The 13,655-nt window shown below is 39.2% G+C and overlaps 1 protein-coding gene and 1 long non-coding RNA gene across 16 annotated transcripts in view, besides 1 other annotated feature; one reads left to right on the top strand and one right to left on the bottom strand.

Moving 5' to 3' along the window:
* GALNT1 (polypeptide N-acetylgalactosaminyltransferase 1) overlaps positions 1-13,655 on the bottom strand; it is a 130,913-nt gene that overhangs the window by 6,863 nt on the left and 110,395 nt on the right. For all 13 annotated transcript variants that reach the window (XM_047437466.1, NM_001384441.1, NM_001384439.1 and 10 more), the window contains 3 exons: positions 12,652-12,791; positions 1,977-2,075; positions 1,329-1,463 (listed from right to left, as the gene is read on the bottom strand). In XM_047437466.1, coding sequence (XP_047293422.1) covers positions 1,329-1,463; positions 1,977-2,075; positions 12,652-12,791 — 374 coding nt within the window. The remainder of the gene's footprint in view (positions 1-1,328; positions 1,464-1,976; positions 2,076-12,651; positions 12,792-13,655) is intronic.
* The window catches only part of LOC105372064 (uncharacterized), a 40,781-nt gene that overhangs the window by 25,885 nt on the left and 1,241 nt on the right, over positions 1-13,655 (top strand). For all 3 annotated transcript variants that reach the window (XR_001753412.2, XR_935377.3, XR_001753413.2), the window contains 2 exons: positions 7,849-7,983; positions 8,633-8,756. This is a non-coding gene — a long non-coding RNA (uncharacterized LOC105372064). The remainder of the gene's footprint in view (positions 1-7,848; positions 7,984-8,632; positions 8,757-13,655) is intronic.
* Positions 1,573-1,867: an enhancer, noted in NCBI's record as "tiled region #10371; HepG2 Activating DNase matched - State 5:Enh". NCBI's record gives its function as "activates a minimal TATA promoter and a strong SV40 promoter by Sharpr-MPRA in HepG2 cells {active_cell/tissue: HepG2}" and the evidence as "EXISTENCE:reporter gene assay evidence [ECO:0000049][PMID:27701403]".

The following is a 13,655-nucleotide window of genomic DNA, read 5'->3' as shown; positions in this document are numbered from 1 at the left end:
CATAAGAGGATATGAAAATATCAGGCCAGGCTGGGTGCAGTGGCTCATGCCTGTAATCCCAGCACTTTGGGAGGCCGAGGTGGGCAGATCACCTGAGGTCAGGAGTTCAAGACCAGCCTGGCCAACATGGAGAAACCCTGTCTCTACTAAAAGTACAAAAATTAGCCGGGCATGGTGGCGGGCACCTGTAATCCCAGCTACTCAGGAGGCTGAGGCAGGAGAATAGCTTGAACCAGGGAGGTGGAGGTTGCATGAGCCGAGATTGCACCACTGCACTCCAGCCTGGGCGATAAGAGCGAGACTCCATCTCAAAAAAATAAATAAATAAAATAAAAAATAAAAAAAAATAAATTAGAAAATATCAGGCCAGATATGATGGCTCATGCCTGTAATCCCAGCACTTTGAGAGACTGAGGCGGGTGGATCGCTTGAGCCTAAGTGCTCAAGACCAGCCTGGACAACATGGTGAAACTCTGTCTCCACAAAATTACAAAAATTAGCCAGGCATGATGGCGTGTGCCTGTGGTCCCAGCTCCTCTAGAGGCTGAGGTGGGAGGATAGCTTGAGCCTGGGAGGTGGAGGTTGTGTGAGCTGTGACTGTACCACTGCACTCTAGCCTGGGTGACAGAGCAAGACCCTGCCTCAAAAAAAAAAAAAAAAGTCATCTGTTTAGTGGCACTAAATGCCTTACAGAAGTTAAGCCAAATTAAAAAGAACCAGAGAAAGAAATATTGAAGATGTTGGTGCTGGTTCCAGAACCTGGCAAAAGCACAAGTTGAAAAATTAGGCAAATAGGTGGAAAGAGGTTTACCACGGATGCTTTAATTGAACTAATACCTTTTAAGTACTTCCATGTGAGCCCATTTGATGGTGGTGGAGAGAAAGGTTCCAGACAAAAGGAAAGATAAATAGGAAAGGTTCTGTCATATATGTCACTGGGAAATCATCACAAGCCAGAGAACTTTATTAATTAAAACTTATCTTTCACTGAAGTGTTTAATTAAGTAATTTTAAAAGCCTACTTTCTGCCTCATTTCTCCCAAACTAGACTATAGAACTTGAAGACATACAGAAGGAACAGTGGCTACTCAGTAAACAAGGACCCAGGGATTGGAGGCAACTGTGATTTTATAAGACTAAAATTTAATTATTAGGGAGATTAAAACACATTTATTTTACTTATTTTTCCCGCCTGTCAATATTTAGTGTATAAGACAAGTTTGATCCATATTCAAGGTCCACAAGAACTCATTCCTTTAGATATAAAGTATATAAATATACCCAGTGACACACATAATTTTATTACTATAGGCAACTGCATAACTTACCACTGGGTCATACTCCCAGAGTTGGTTGCCTTTTAGGTGGTGGCATTTGAGCATTGTAACTGGGCCATTAAGTTTGGAAACATCCAAGCAAAGGTCATCTGTTCTAATTTCTTTGTTGGCAGTATAAGAGAAAACCTGGAAATAAAAATGCACACACATAAACAGAAAAAATAAATTAGTCAGCATTTTAAATGCCCAATTAGCTGTCAGGGAAAATACAAGTATTTCAAGGTACATGATTTATGTACTTTATTAAAGTAATGAAGAATAAAGTGACTCAGAAAAGCTACCACTAATTTACATTGATGTTATGTTACTCATTTTCTTGCTTACAAGCTGAAGCAAAAATGACCTTGAGCTCTCTGTATACACTGAATGTATTGTCAAGGGTTGTCATCTGTTTGAATAAAAAGGGCAAAATAAATTTTGTGCTCAGCAATGTAAACATAGTTCTCACAATGGGCCTTTCACAAATGTTTCATTAAAAAAAAAAATCACTGGATTGAAAGCTTCCTTCACCTAAAAGTCTTTATTATTTTCTCTTTAAAGGAAGGAAAATATTTCCTGAATGATGTCATGGTATAAAAAAAAGGCAAAGTAAAAACAATCTGAAAATTATCCCTTTTAAGAGTTTTCTAAGATACTCACCTGATTACCCCCCATACCATGGCAATTAAAAATTCCAACTTTTTCATTCTCTTTTCTAGCCATGTTATCTAGACACTGATTCGTTTCCACATTTCGTATCTATGGGACAATAAATAATGAAAATATCAGGAGTTGGAGAAGTTAATTAGACAGACAGATACACACACATATACACTAAATATCAACCTAAACTTTCCCTGGCCCTACTCTGAAATGGCCTATTGGCCTATCGCTGTCTGAGTATCTAAAATTCATTGGTCTAGAAAGGTCTTACAACTGTTTATGTAATTTTCTGTGTTTATGGGGGAAAATCCTTACAATTTCTTTTTTCATTTTTTTCAAGTTATTCCTTTCAAATTTGTATTGAGTTCAACAAACTCTACTTTGGTTAATGATTTAAAAAATTAACTCCCTGATGACACTATTATCAATCAAGACAAGAACATTAATTCTGATAACTACTCTGATGACTTAGGAGAGACTAAGATGACTCTAGTCAAAGAGCTTGGAACTTGTCTTACCTGGAAGCTTAAGCATAGTGTGGTACAAACTCTACTCTTTCACTAGACATTTGTGGATTACATAAAAGGAATTTAAGTCAGTCATCAGAATTAGGAGGAATATTTTAGGTAATGCCCCTTGATATTTTGTTTCCTCTAAACTGTTGCAGTTTTAAAAGCATATGGTAAATTAACAGATGTTTGAAAGTCTTAAATCTATTCCTATGTACGGTACTGTCAGCAGGTTAAGCCAGAAGAGAAACTACATCTGTCATGTCATGTAGACTTTTTAAAAAAGGTAACTAATTTTGTGTGATAGATAAAGTAGGGGTAAAGTTAAAACCACAAAAAAGCCAGTTACTTCTATAAACACATATACAGTCTGCATATTATTCCAATATTCCCAAGCAGCCAGGAATAAAAACCAGGGTTCTGACATAGAAGACTCAGGTTTAAATACAAGTTACCTAAACCTTTTGAGATCAGGAACTGGGGGGGTAATGTCAGTTCTATGCTAATGTCAGTTCTGTGCTGATGCTATGTAAGACAATGTATCCAGGCACCTAATTCAGAGTCCAGCATGAACAGGCTCAGAGACAGTAATAATCTGCACTGTCACTTTATCACTAGTCACATCCATCTTGCTATTCCACCAAAATCTCAAACTCGGTTCGTTCAAAACAGAATTTCTCAATTTTCTAATATGAACACTTAATCATCTTCACATTTTAATACGTCCCCACCCCATCCCCTCTTGAGAAGTGCTACCTAAAACAAACCTCATTATCATTTCTCCAAAATTTCCCGTTTTCCTGATATCCCTATTTTTATTACTATTCCCACAACTTGTCCAATTATTCAAGCTAGAAATTTCAAAATGTTTTTTTCTCAGGGTCCAATACATTATATGTTTCCAAGAGTTCTTTTACCACATAATTTACATCATCATTTTTTATCCATTAATTGTGAAACCTATTCCCTCATAAATAGGTTGTGTTAGGTTGTATAAAAGATTTTATGGTAAAATACCAATTTGCATAAAGCACACCTTCCTTCATCCTGGTAGGTGATCAATTAATACCAGACGATGATGGCTATCTCACTTGAAAAAGAATTTCGCTCAGATTGGGCCAATCACAGTGACCCATGTCTATAACCCGAGCACTTTAAGAGGCCAAGACAGTAGGATCGCCTGAGCCTAGGAGTTCAAGACTTGCAACATAGCAAGACCTTGTCTCTACAAAAAATAAAAATACAAATCTTAGGCATGGTGGCTCACGCCTGTAGTCCCAGTTATTCGGGAGGCTGAGGTGGGAGGATCACTTGAGCCCAAGAGTTCAAGGCTGCAGTAAGCTATAATTGTGCCACTGCACTTCAACTTAAGTGACAGAGCAAGGCCCTGTCTCTTAAAGAAAAAAAAAAAAGTTCATATTGTGATAAAGATGAGTATTTATCTCATATATTCACAAAAAATAATTATTTCCTTATACTTTTGATATAAATTATAAACTCTCCAATCCTGTTTTCCTCTATTTCTTCCCCCAAATGCAGATGTAAATAAAGGTGGCTAAAGAAAGATGATAAATGCCACAGGAATTATTAGATTAACACCAGTGTTATCTTCAGCTTCTCTCGCTCTCATATGGAATGGCCATTTGCTTAAATAATTGCCTATCTTTTACCAAAATTCAAAACAAAAAATGCAATTCTTGGCGGGGCGTGGTGGCTCATGCATGTAGAATCCTAGCACTTTGGGAGGCCGAGGCAGGAGGATCCCTTGAGCTCAAGAGTTTGGGACCTACCTGGCCAACATGATGAGACCCTGCCTCTATTTTGTAAGAGATTTGTACATAACAGCTTATACCATCCTTACAAGATTCCTATAACTAATTCCTGACATGCGAGATCTGGGCCTCTATCCTTTGGGGTTACTACTGACCATTAGATGTTGAAAGTGGAGTTTCTCCAAGGACTGGAAACCACTGCTTCCCATTAGCTGTTAGAGTGAGGAGTAACTAAACTGCATCAACAACATATGGTCAGTGAGGCCCAGGTGAGGTGGGTGGCATGGTCAGAGACCCAGATTCAGGCTCCTGGTGGCGCCTGGAGGCACTCCTCTGATGTAAAGGGGAGAAACTGGAGATTACACTTCTGAAAGAGCACAGCTATGATGTTAGAGTCCCTAAGTGAATTTCACATTAGAGGACAGAGGATTCTGTTTGGCTCAACAAATATGTGGCTTCTTTGTAGCTGAAGGGACATCTGCTCTCCAGGTGGGTCCCTCTATATACCGCCTGGCTAGAGAATATAGAGTTTTCAGAGAACATTCTTTTCTGTGTAGTGATACATGTGGACTACCTCATCTATGGGGTGTGTAAGATGTTTTCCTCAAGGACATGGAAAATTAGGTTGACTATGGGGTAAGTTTTGTCCTCTAGGATTCTAGGAGGGAGAGGACCACCTAATAGGTTTGTTTGCCGGGAGTTAAGTTTGAAGAGCCTTTGGAGAAAGGGAAAATGAGGAACAAACATTTTCTAGGGATGCTGAATCAAATGTTCAAAATTGTAATTCCATATAGCTTTAAGACTATATAACCAATTACCAGCTTTCTAATGAGATGTGGAGGGTAGAAAGGGTGACAACACATACTTGTTTCAAGTTTATACTGGGATGAAAATAGGTATTTGGGTTGGTTATTCAAAATCTGACATTTGAAAAAATTTTAAAACAGCAGAATTTGGAAAATATAGAAGGAAGAGAAAATACATTCAAGAATTGAGGACTAGCTCTTAAGGATGTTCTAGGCAAATGTCTTATTTGTTGGACTTCTAAAAAGAGTGAGAACCTTCTGATAAGGGGTATTTTGAAGTTTAAGGAACAAATGGGCTAGATTCTTTCTGGAGTCTCCCACTCTTCAGAGGATTTTATCCCATTTCTTGGTGTACACACAGTCTACAGCTAACTGCTCAGTGGTCTTATTACACTACCAATTCCTTTAGTTCACTCCTTTCAAGTCACCTCTTGACTATCCTGGAAAGAGAAAAGCAAGAAGTGAGCCTTGTTTGGTAACATATTCAGTAGTCATCAGGACATCTAACAGCAACTGAGATTCTAAATTATCAGGAACCCTTAAATAAAAGGCAGATTTGATATGGGAAAAGAAGGGAGCTTTTCTTGGTTGAAGTAGATACTCCTGAATATCAATATGGTCCTGATATTCTCCTTAACCAAGTAGGAAGGTATCTACTGACAGGATGGCTTGGGAATTTGATATGATACATCCCTATGAATTATGTTATGATAATTCCAAATTATTTCAGAGTAGAGAGAATTAGAGGGGGCATACATTAGTTATAAGATTTGAAAACAATAGATTTGACAAGGCAAATATGACCACTTCAACTTAGGACCTGGGAAGGAGAAATGAGTGAAATGACAGGGTAGCAGTACATGATACAGAGACAGATGGGTAACCTCCTGTGTTGGCTTATTTTATTTTATTTATTTTATTTTTGAGACAGAGTCTCACTCTGTCGCCCAGGCTGCAGTGCAATGGTGCGACATCGGCTCACTGCAACCTCTGCCTCCCGGGTTCAAGCAATTCTCTGCCTCAGCCTCCCAAGTAGCTGGGATTACAGGCGCCTGCCACCATGCCCGGCTAATTTATTTTTTATTTTTTTTTGTAGAGACAGGATTTCACCATCTTGGCCAGGCTGGTCTTGAAATCCTGACGTCATGATCCACCCACCTCGGCCTCCCAAAGTGCTGGGATTACAGGCGTGAGCCACCGGCGCCTGGCCGTGTTGGCTGTTTTAAAACAGCAGTTGTTAATGTCTCCAGCACCATCCAGTAGAACTTTCTGAGATGATGGAAATGTCTATATTTGTGCTAATATGGTAGCAGCCACTAGTCATGTGTGGCTATTGAGCACTTCAAATGTGGCTATTGTGACTGAAGAACCAGGCTTTAAATTCTATTTACTTTTAATTACATTTATTTTCATTTATTTTATTTTATTTTATATTTTCAGACAGTCTCTTGCTCTGTCACCCAGGCTGGAATGCAGTGGCACAATCTTGGCTCACTGCAACCTCTACCCCCAAGGTTCAAGCAATTCTCGCGCCTCAGCCTCCCGAGTAGCTGGGACTACAGATGCGGGCCACCACACTCAGCTAATTTTTCATATTTTTAGTAGAGATGGGGTTTCGGCATGTTGGCCAGGCTGGTCTCGAACTCCTGATCTCAAGTGATCCACCCACCTCGGCTTCCCAAAGTGCTGCCATTACAGGTGTGAGTCACCAGGCGTGGCCTAATTTTAATTAAATTCAGTGTAGCCGACACGTCAGATGTGCAGGTCTAGATGCTGACACATAGGAGAAAATCTTCCACCATTTGTGAGGAGCTACTTGCCAACGATGGGAAAAGTTGCACAACATGCTAATAAACCCAAGTTCTCACACCATTGGCCACCCTATGAAAGTCACGTGGAAAGTGCCCAAGTTTGGTTTGTACTTTCTGAAACAGTGTAAATCCTAGGAGATCTAAGTTATTTCAAGGGGAAAGATCAGTGGGTTAATGGTCCTCTTCATAGGAATTGTTTATGGCTGATTAACTCATCTTTCCTTACGTGGCCAGGCACGCCACTGAATCAAGCCAAAACAATCTAGAAACGATGTACAAACTGAGAGTATCATAAAGGGTGAGGAGCTGTTAGAAACAAACTTTTCTACTTGAATCACAGCAGTGTCTGACTTACAGTGTGTGAATATCCACACTTTCAAAGTGTCTGTAGGGGTGAGAGTTTAGATTGTGGGGACATGCAGATGGTGCTTCATTCCTGACTAGCCATGAGACCTTGGGCAGGTTATTTACTCTAAGACTGTGATTCCAAAAACCACAATCTGAAGAACAGCATCTTGCAAGGTGCCCCAATAAAAAAGGTGTTTTATGATCAGATATGTTTGGGAAATACTAGTTAAATAAATTTAAATAGGTTTCTTTGTTGAAGGACTTCTCAAAGCCTTTTAATATATCATGACTATTGGTAGGACCGGGGAATGGTGGTACAGATGGATGTAAGATGTAAAATAGTATTGCCCAAACATATTTGACCTCAAAATCTACCTCCTTCTCCCCAGCACTTCGCCTTTCTAATTGAGCACCTTGGGGACATCAGATATCAATATTATTTACAACACAGAATTAAAAACACTGCTATAAGAACCCTTTCTCATTGGTAAAGCAGGGATAAATCTCTCTCTCTCTCAGGTTTGTTAAGTGCTCTAAATGAGATAATACATACAGAGGCTCTAGCAGGGACAGATACATAGCAGGCACACAGTAACCGTTGGTTTTCTTTCCTTTATCCACAGACCCAGCAACTCTTCAACCCCCCTTTGGAAGTAGCAACTTAGCTGTACCTGACTGCCACTTTAAAACTACTATTTTTGACATTAGGAATTGAAAATAATTGTGAATGCACCCATTCTTGGAAAACCAGGCAAGAGGTTAGAGCTTAAGTTTCTTTGTTTCTACTATTAGTCTCCTCCAGAATCAGTATCTCCATTAGGGTGGACAATGTAAGAGCTTTGTTAAACCATTTTTATAATCTAGCATTAGTGAATCTGGATTCACTTTTCTACTCTCTGCTGCAAGGGAAATACTGGTTAGATTTGAGAAAGAATACGGACATTAGGGGTTAACAGCACAGGCTCTCAAACCAGATGGTTGTGAGTTTAGCCGTGTTTTTTAAACCATTTATTTGTGTCTCAGTTTACTTATCTGTGAAGTGGAAATAACAGCACAATCCTATAGTGTTGTGCTTTAATATTCATCAAGCATTCAGATTTGTGCTTGACATAAAGTACATGCTCAGTAAATGTTAGGATTATTAGATCTGCCTGGAAAAGCAATTGGTCAGCCCCTAAAACTGACTAAACCAGTAAAGGTCTAGATTGTTTACTTTTTGTTGTTTAGAATACTCAGCTCCTGAGTTAACAACTATCAGATACCACAATGAAACACATTTGTTCAGGTCCTACAGGAACTACGAACGTCAGCGTTAGCTGAAGCCAGATGCCCTAAATTATATCTATTACCCTAGTCATATTTACATTTTCTGATTTCCCTTTCTGCTGAAAAATCCTATGATTTCAGGTTTCCCTGGACCCTTGAAGCATGAGAAGAGATCTATGAAAGGCTAAATTACTGTTGCTAGCAAAGGAAGGCTCACATGGGTGAAGCTGTGATCAGAAGCATAAGATCCCTGGGCTGCACTATGGTGGGTACTCTTAAGAATGACCTCCAATCTAGAAATGACACTTTTAACCTGTAGGATGTGGCCTGGTATTAAGGGCGTACAAGGCTTAAGGCCAGCTGTTAAGTTAATAAGGCGATAACAAGCAGGCCACAGAGGGTAAACGCTGCGACTTGCCCAGAAGCCAGCTGGCAAGAGGCAGGTAAGACGCAAGCTTGCCTTGGCAGTCATCTACCATGGAGCAGACAAGTGTTTCTTTGTCACACGCCCGAACTCTGGCCCAGCTAACAATGCCTAGGCATTGTCCAAAATTGGGTCAGCTCAAAAAAAACAAAACAAAAACAAAAAACTCCTCATTTTTGGTTCTAAAGACAAGCTGCAGAGTGACTGCTAGAAATCTTTCCCTGGCGCACCACTCACCCTGGGCCTTCTTTGACCAGTACGAGGTCACAGCAAAGGAAAACACATTCCCATTAATGAGGCATCAGTGAGAATGAAAGGCTCAAGAAACTCAATGTAGCCCTCACTTGTTTGAAAACAAATTCCTTAAATCACAACAAGGTTCAGAGGTAGGGAGCTCAAGTCAATCCTGAAGTAGCCTTAGTAACTGTTAGGATAAATGCGTAAGTCTGTGCCTGCCCTGGCACTGAAGAAAACACCAGGCCAGATGGCTTCACCAACTCTCCACCATCTGGCTTCCTTCAGTGATCTACTTGCTTTCCCTTATCTTACATTTCTATTTTACATCCTTTTCTCTTTCCCCAATTCCCCCTCACCAACACCTTCTTCACTCTCAGCCCATAATCTTGTGTTCAACTGAGGAAACAAGCCACCAGAAGAGAAGGTCCTCACACTTCCACCACAAACTGCCAGTTTCCACCTCCAAACCTACAGCTGCCCTGCACTTGTTCCCATTCCTCTACCTTCCTCCCCATGATAAGAGATGACCTCTCTTCTTCCCACCCCCACCCAACACCCTCTACTTGTGTACAGATTTCACCTCCTATCCACCCAAATACATGACACCCATAACAACAGATCCCTTCTTTCTTTTTATTCTGGTGCAGAAACACATAACATAAAATTTACCATCTAAACTGTTTTCAAGTGTACAGTTTAGTAGTGTTAAGTATATTCAGGCTGTTGTGAAACAAATCTCCAGAACTTTTTCATCTTGCAAATGTGAAACTCTATGCCCATGAAGTAACTCTTCTTTAGGCCCTTCCCTCAGCCCTGGTAACCACCATTCTACTTTCTGTTTCTATGAGTTTGACTATTCTAGCTGCCTTATATAAGGAGAATCATACAGCATTTCTCTTTTGGTGACTGTCGTATTATGCTTAACATAAGGTCCTCAAGGTTCATCCATGTTGTAGCATGTATCAGAATTTCCTTCCTTTTTAAGACTGAAAAATATTCCATTGTACGTTGTATCACGATTTATAGCAGTCACTCTGTAGCTTGTCTTTAGAACCAAGAAGGAGGAGTTTTTTACTTTGAACTGACCCAATTTTGGACAATGCCTAAGCATTGCTAGCTGGGCCAGAATGAACGGACACGTGGAGTGCTTCTACTTCTTGGCTATTGTGAATAGTGCTGTTATAAACATGTAAGTAAAAGTAACTCTTCAGACCCTGCGTTCATTTCCTTTGGATACATACCCTGAGGTGGAATTGCTGGATAATATCGTAGTTCTCTTTTTTGAGCATTTTTTGAGAAACCTCCATACTATTTTTAAATAGCAGTTGTACCATTTTACATTCACACCAACAATGCACAAGGGTTCCAATTTTTCAGTATCCTTGCCAACATGTGTCATTCTCTGTTTTTTTGATAGTGGCCATTCTAATGGGTGTTAAGTTGGCTCTTTCTTTTGCATCTTTAAATTTTCTCTTTTGGGTTGCTCATATCAGCACAGTTTTATCTTAATAAAGAAATAAAAACCCCTTTAAGCCCATATTCTCCTCCAGCTACCACCTATTTATCTTCTCTCTTTTACAAGAAAATTCCTTGCAAGACTTGTACACATTCATCTATGTTGCTTCTTCCATTCTCTCTTCAAAACAGAGTTTTTAACAACATCCATGGGGAACTCTCTCAACACTGTGAGATAGGCTACTGATAACATGTCCCTAGCCAAATGCAATAACCAATTCTAAGTACTCATCTTCCTCAATTTCTCTGCAGTATTCGATACAGCTGATCACTTCCTCTTTCCTGAAACACGTCTTTCCCTTAGTCTTGGCGACACCACTCTCTAGGTTCTCCTATTTCACTGCCTACTCCTTCTCAATCTTTTTTGCTGATTCCTTCTCATCTCCATGATTTCTAAACTGTGGCATTCCCTCTGGCATTGTCCTCGGTCTTCTCTCTCATACTTAACATTTTCTCCTCCTCAGGTGACCTCATACAGTTTTGTGGCTTTAAAAACCATCCTATATGCTGACAACCTAAGTTAACATCTCTATCACAACCTCTCCCCCAAAGTGAATATTCTTAAATGTAAAGACCTATTCATATCTTCACTTGGATCTCAAATTTGATGTGTCCCAAACTACTGTTGATTCCCTTGAGCATCTGCTCTTCCTGTAGGTTTTCCCATCTCAGTAATGGCAACTTTACAGTCAGTGTCTCAAGCTTGATAGAAACCAGACATAATCCTTTACTCTCTTCAACAATACACCAGCTCTACTCCTGTTTCCATATAGTTTTTCTCCACATAGCATACAATGTGATCCTTTTCTAGTGGAAGTTTGCTGGTATCTTTCGATAGCTTCCATTTGATTCAGAATAAAATGCAAAATGCAAAGTTCTCACTATAACCTAAAAGCTTTATATGATTTGACCCTCACTTTGTCTTTGACCTTATCTTCTACTACTCTCCACCTTGTTCACTCTATTCCAGACAACTGGTCTCCCTGCTGTTTCTGGAACGCGCTAAGTACATTGTCATCTTAGAAACCTTTATACTTGTTCTTCCCTGTGCCCAGAATACTCTTTCCCTAAAAACTCGTATGACCTGCTCATTCACTTTCTTCAGATCTCTGCTCAAAATCACCTTGACAGGACTCTTTCAACTTCCGTACTCTTTCAACTTCCTTACATAAAACAGTACTACTACCCACGCTCACTTGTCAGTCATTCTCTATCCCTTCTGCCCTTACCACCACCTGACATATTGTGTGCCTTTCATAATCTGTCTTACTCATGGACTGTAAGATCAACAAGAGCAGGATCTCTGCTTTACTTATTGCTGTATTCCTAGTACTTAAAACAGTACTTGTCATATACTAGAGGTACTCAAATATTTGTTGAATGAATGAAAGGACTGAAGAAGTGACAACCTTCTTCAGAGTGGGAGGCCACTTTTCCTGAGATTTAATCCTGGGGTAGGCCTGCTTGTGGCCCTGTCTACACATATCATCATTTGCTGCTGTGACTTATAAAAGGAAATATTGTCCTTCTATTGATTTCTATCACAAAAAGGTTGGATTTCTTTCCCTACTTGGCTTCATATTTTTTTCTAAAAGCCATCTTATAATTACAAGTTCACAAAGACCTGCAAAGAAGTCTTTTTTTTTTTAATATATATACAGATTTTACAGATCCACAATTGCAGATGGTGCAGTCTGTTTAGGAAACACATCACTATAGACAGAATAGGGAAAAACAGACCCCACAGTACACAGCTTATCTCCAGGCGCATCAACTCAGTGGAAATCAACTTTCAGGGAGGAGGAATGGGAAAAAAAGAATATAGTTTAGACTTACGTGGTAAGAAGGAGGAAGGAAGCAAGAGAAGTTAAATGTTAACATGAAGGTACTTTCCTTATTGGAAGTTTAACTAACTCCTATTTTTTTTTAATAAAAAAGTAAGAACATAATAACCACATAGAATATATATATATATATTTCTTACCTCTCCCAATGAGAAATAGTGACGTGGAATTTGAGAATCAGGATATATATTCTCTAGGTACCAGGAAAAAGGTTTGCATTGTAGTTTGTGTCTTAGACCAACTCTTGACGATATATCTCCATAATCTACCTTTGTAACACCTGTTGAAAGAAATAATTGACTCTGAATTATTAGTGTTGTTTTAGGTAACACATGTTTATATATTGAATCTAATAAGCCAGATGAATCAGAACAGTGGTATCAGCTGGGTGATATGTGACTATACAAGTGGAGACACCATGAATCCACCAAAAGTATAAAGCAAGGAAAATACATTAAAATGTGTTTTAATTTTTCAGAGAAAAATGACATTTATGTGAGAATGAAATATAAGTGATATGGGATCAGTAAACTTCAATATATGTTAAGGCACAAACAAAAAAATCAAGGTCTATTTTGCTCAAATATTAAACAGAGCAATTGTTTGCAGTCAGGCTTCTCTCACACAACTCACTGAACTGTGCACCCTGCCACTTGACAGTCTTGCAGTAACTAAAAAATAAGGATGGACTAGTAACAATGTCAGGCCGACTTATAGCTGATGGAACAACTGTTCCTACAAAACTCTGAATAGCAAAGTTTCCGGAAAGAAGGCCCTGTGGCACGTTTTGGGCTCTCAGTGGCCTTGTGATACTTGACGAAAGCCTCCTATGACAGCATTGAGGGCCTGCTTATAGAGAACGTTCATGACCCACTGCAAAAACAGTGGTTTTGTTATGTTGAATGAAAACTCCAAGAATCAAGAAAAAGTCATATAAGCTAGAAAAATGGCTGAAAATTTAACAAGATGAAACTTCACAGGAATAAATACTAAATGTTGCAGTTAGGTTTTAAAAAAAATAGAACATCTGCAAAACCTGGGCTAGCAACACTGACCTGGATAATTTATTACTGTTAATTATATATTATTCTAGGCATTCTGCCAAGCACTTTCTATACTGTGTGTGATTTCATTCATTCCTTAC

Source organism: Homo sapiens, chromosome 18, assembly GCF_000001405.40.
Source record: "Homo sapiens chromosome 18, GRCh38.p14 Primary Assembly".
Classification (NCBI taxonomy): Eukaryota; Metazoa; Chordata; class Mammalia; order Primates; family Hominidae; genus Homo; species Homo sapiens.
The sequence above is the reverse complement of the archived record's forward strand: the minus strand, read 5'-3'. Positions and strand labels throughout refer to the sequence as shown.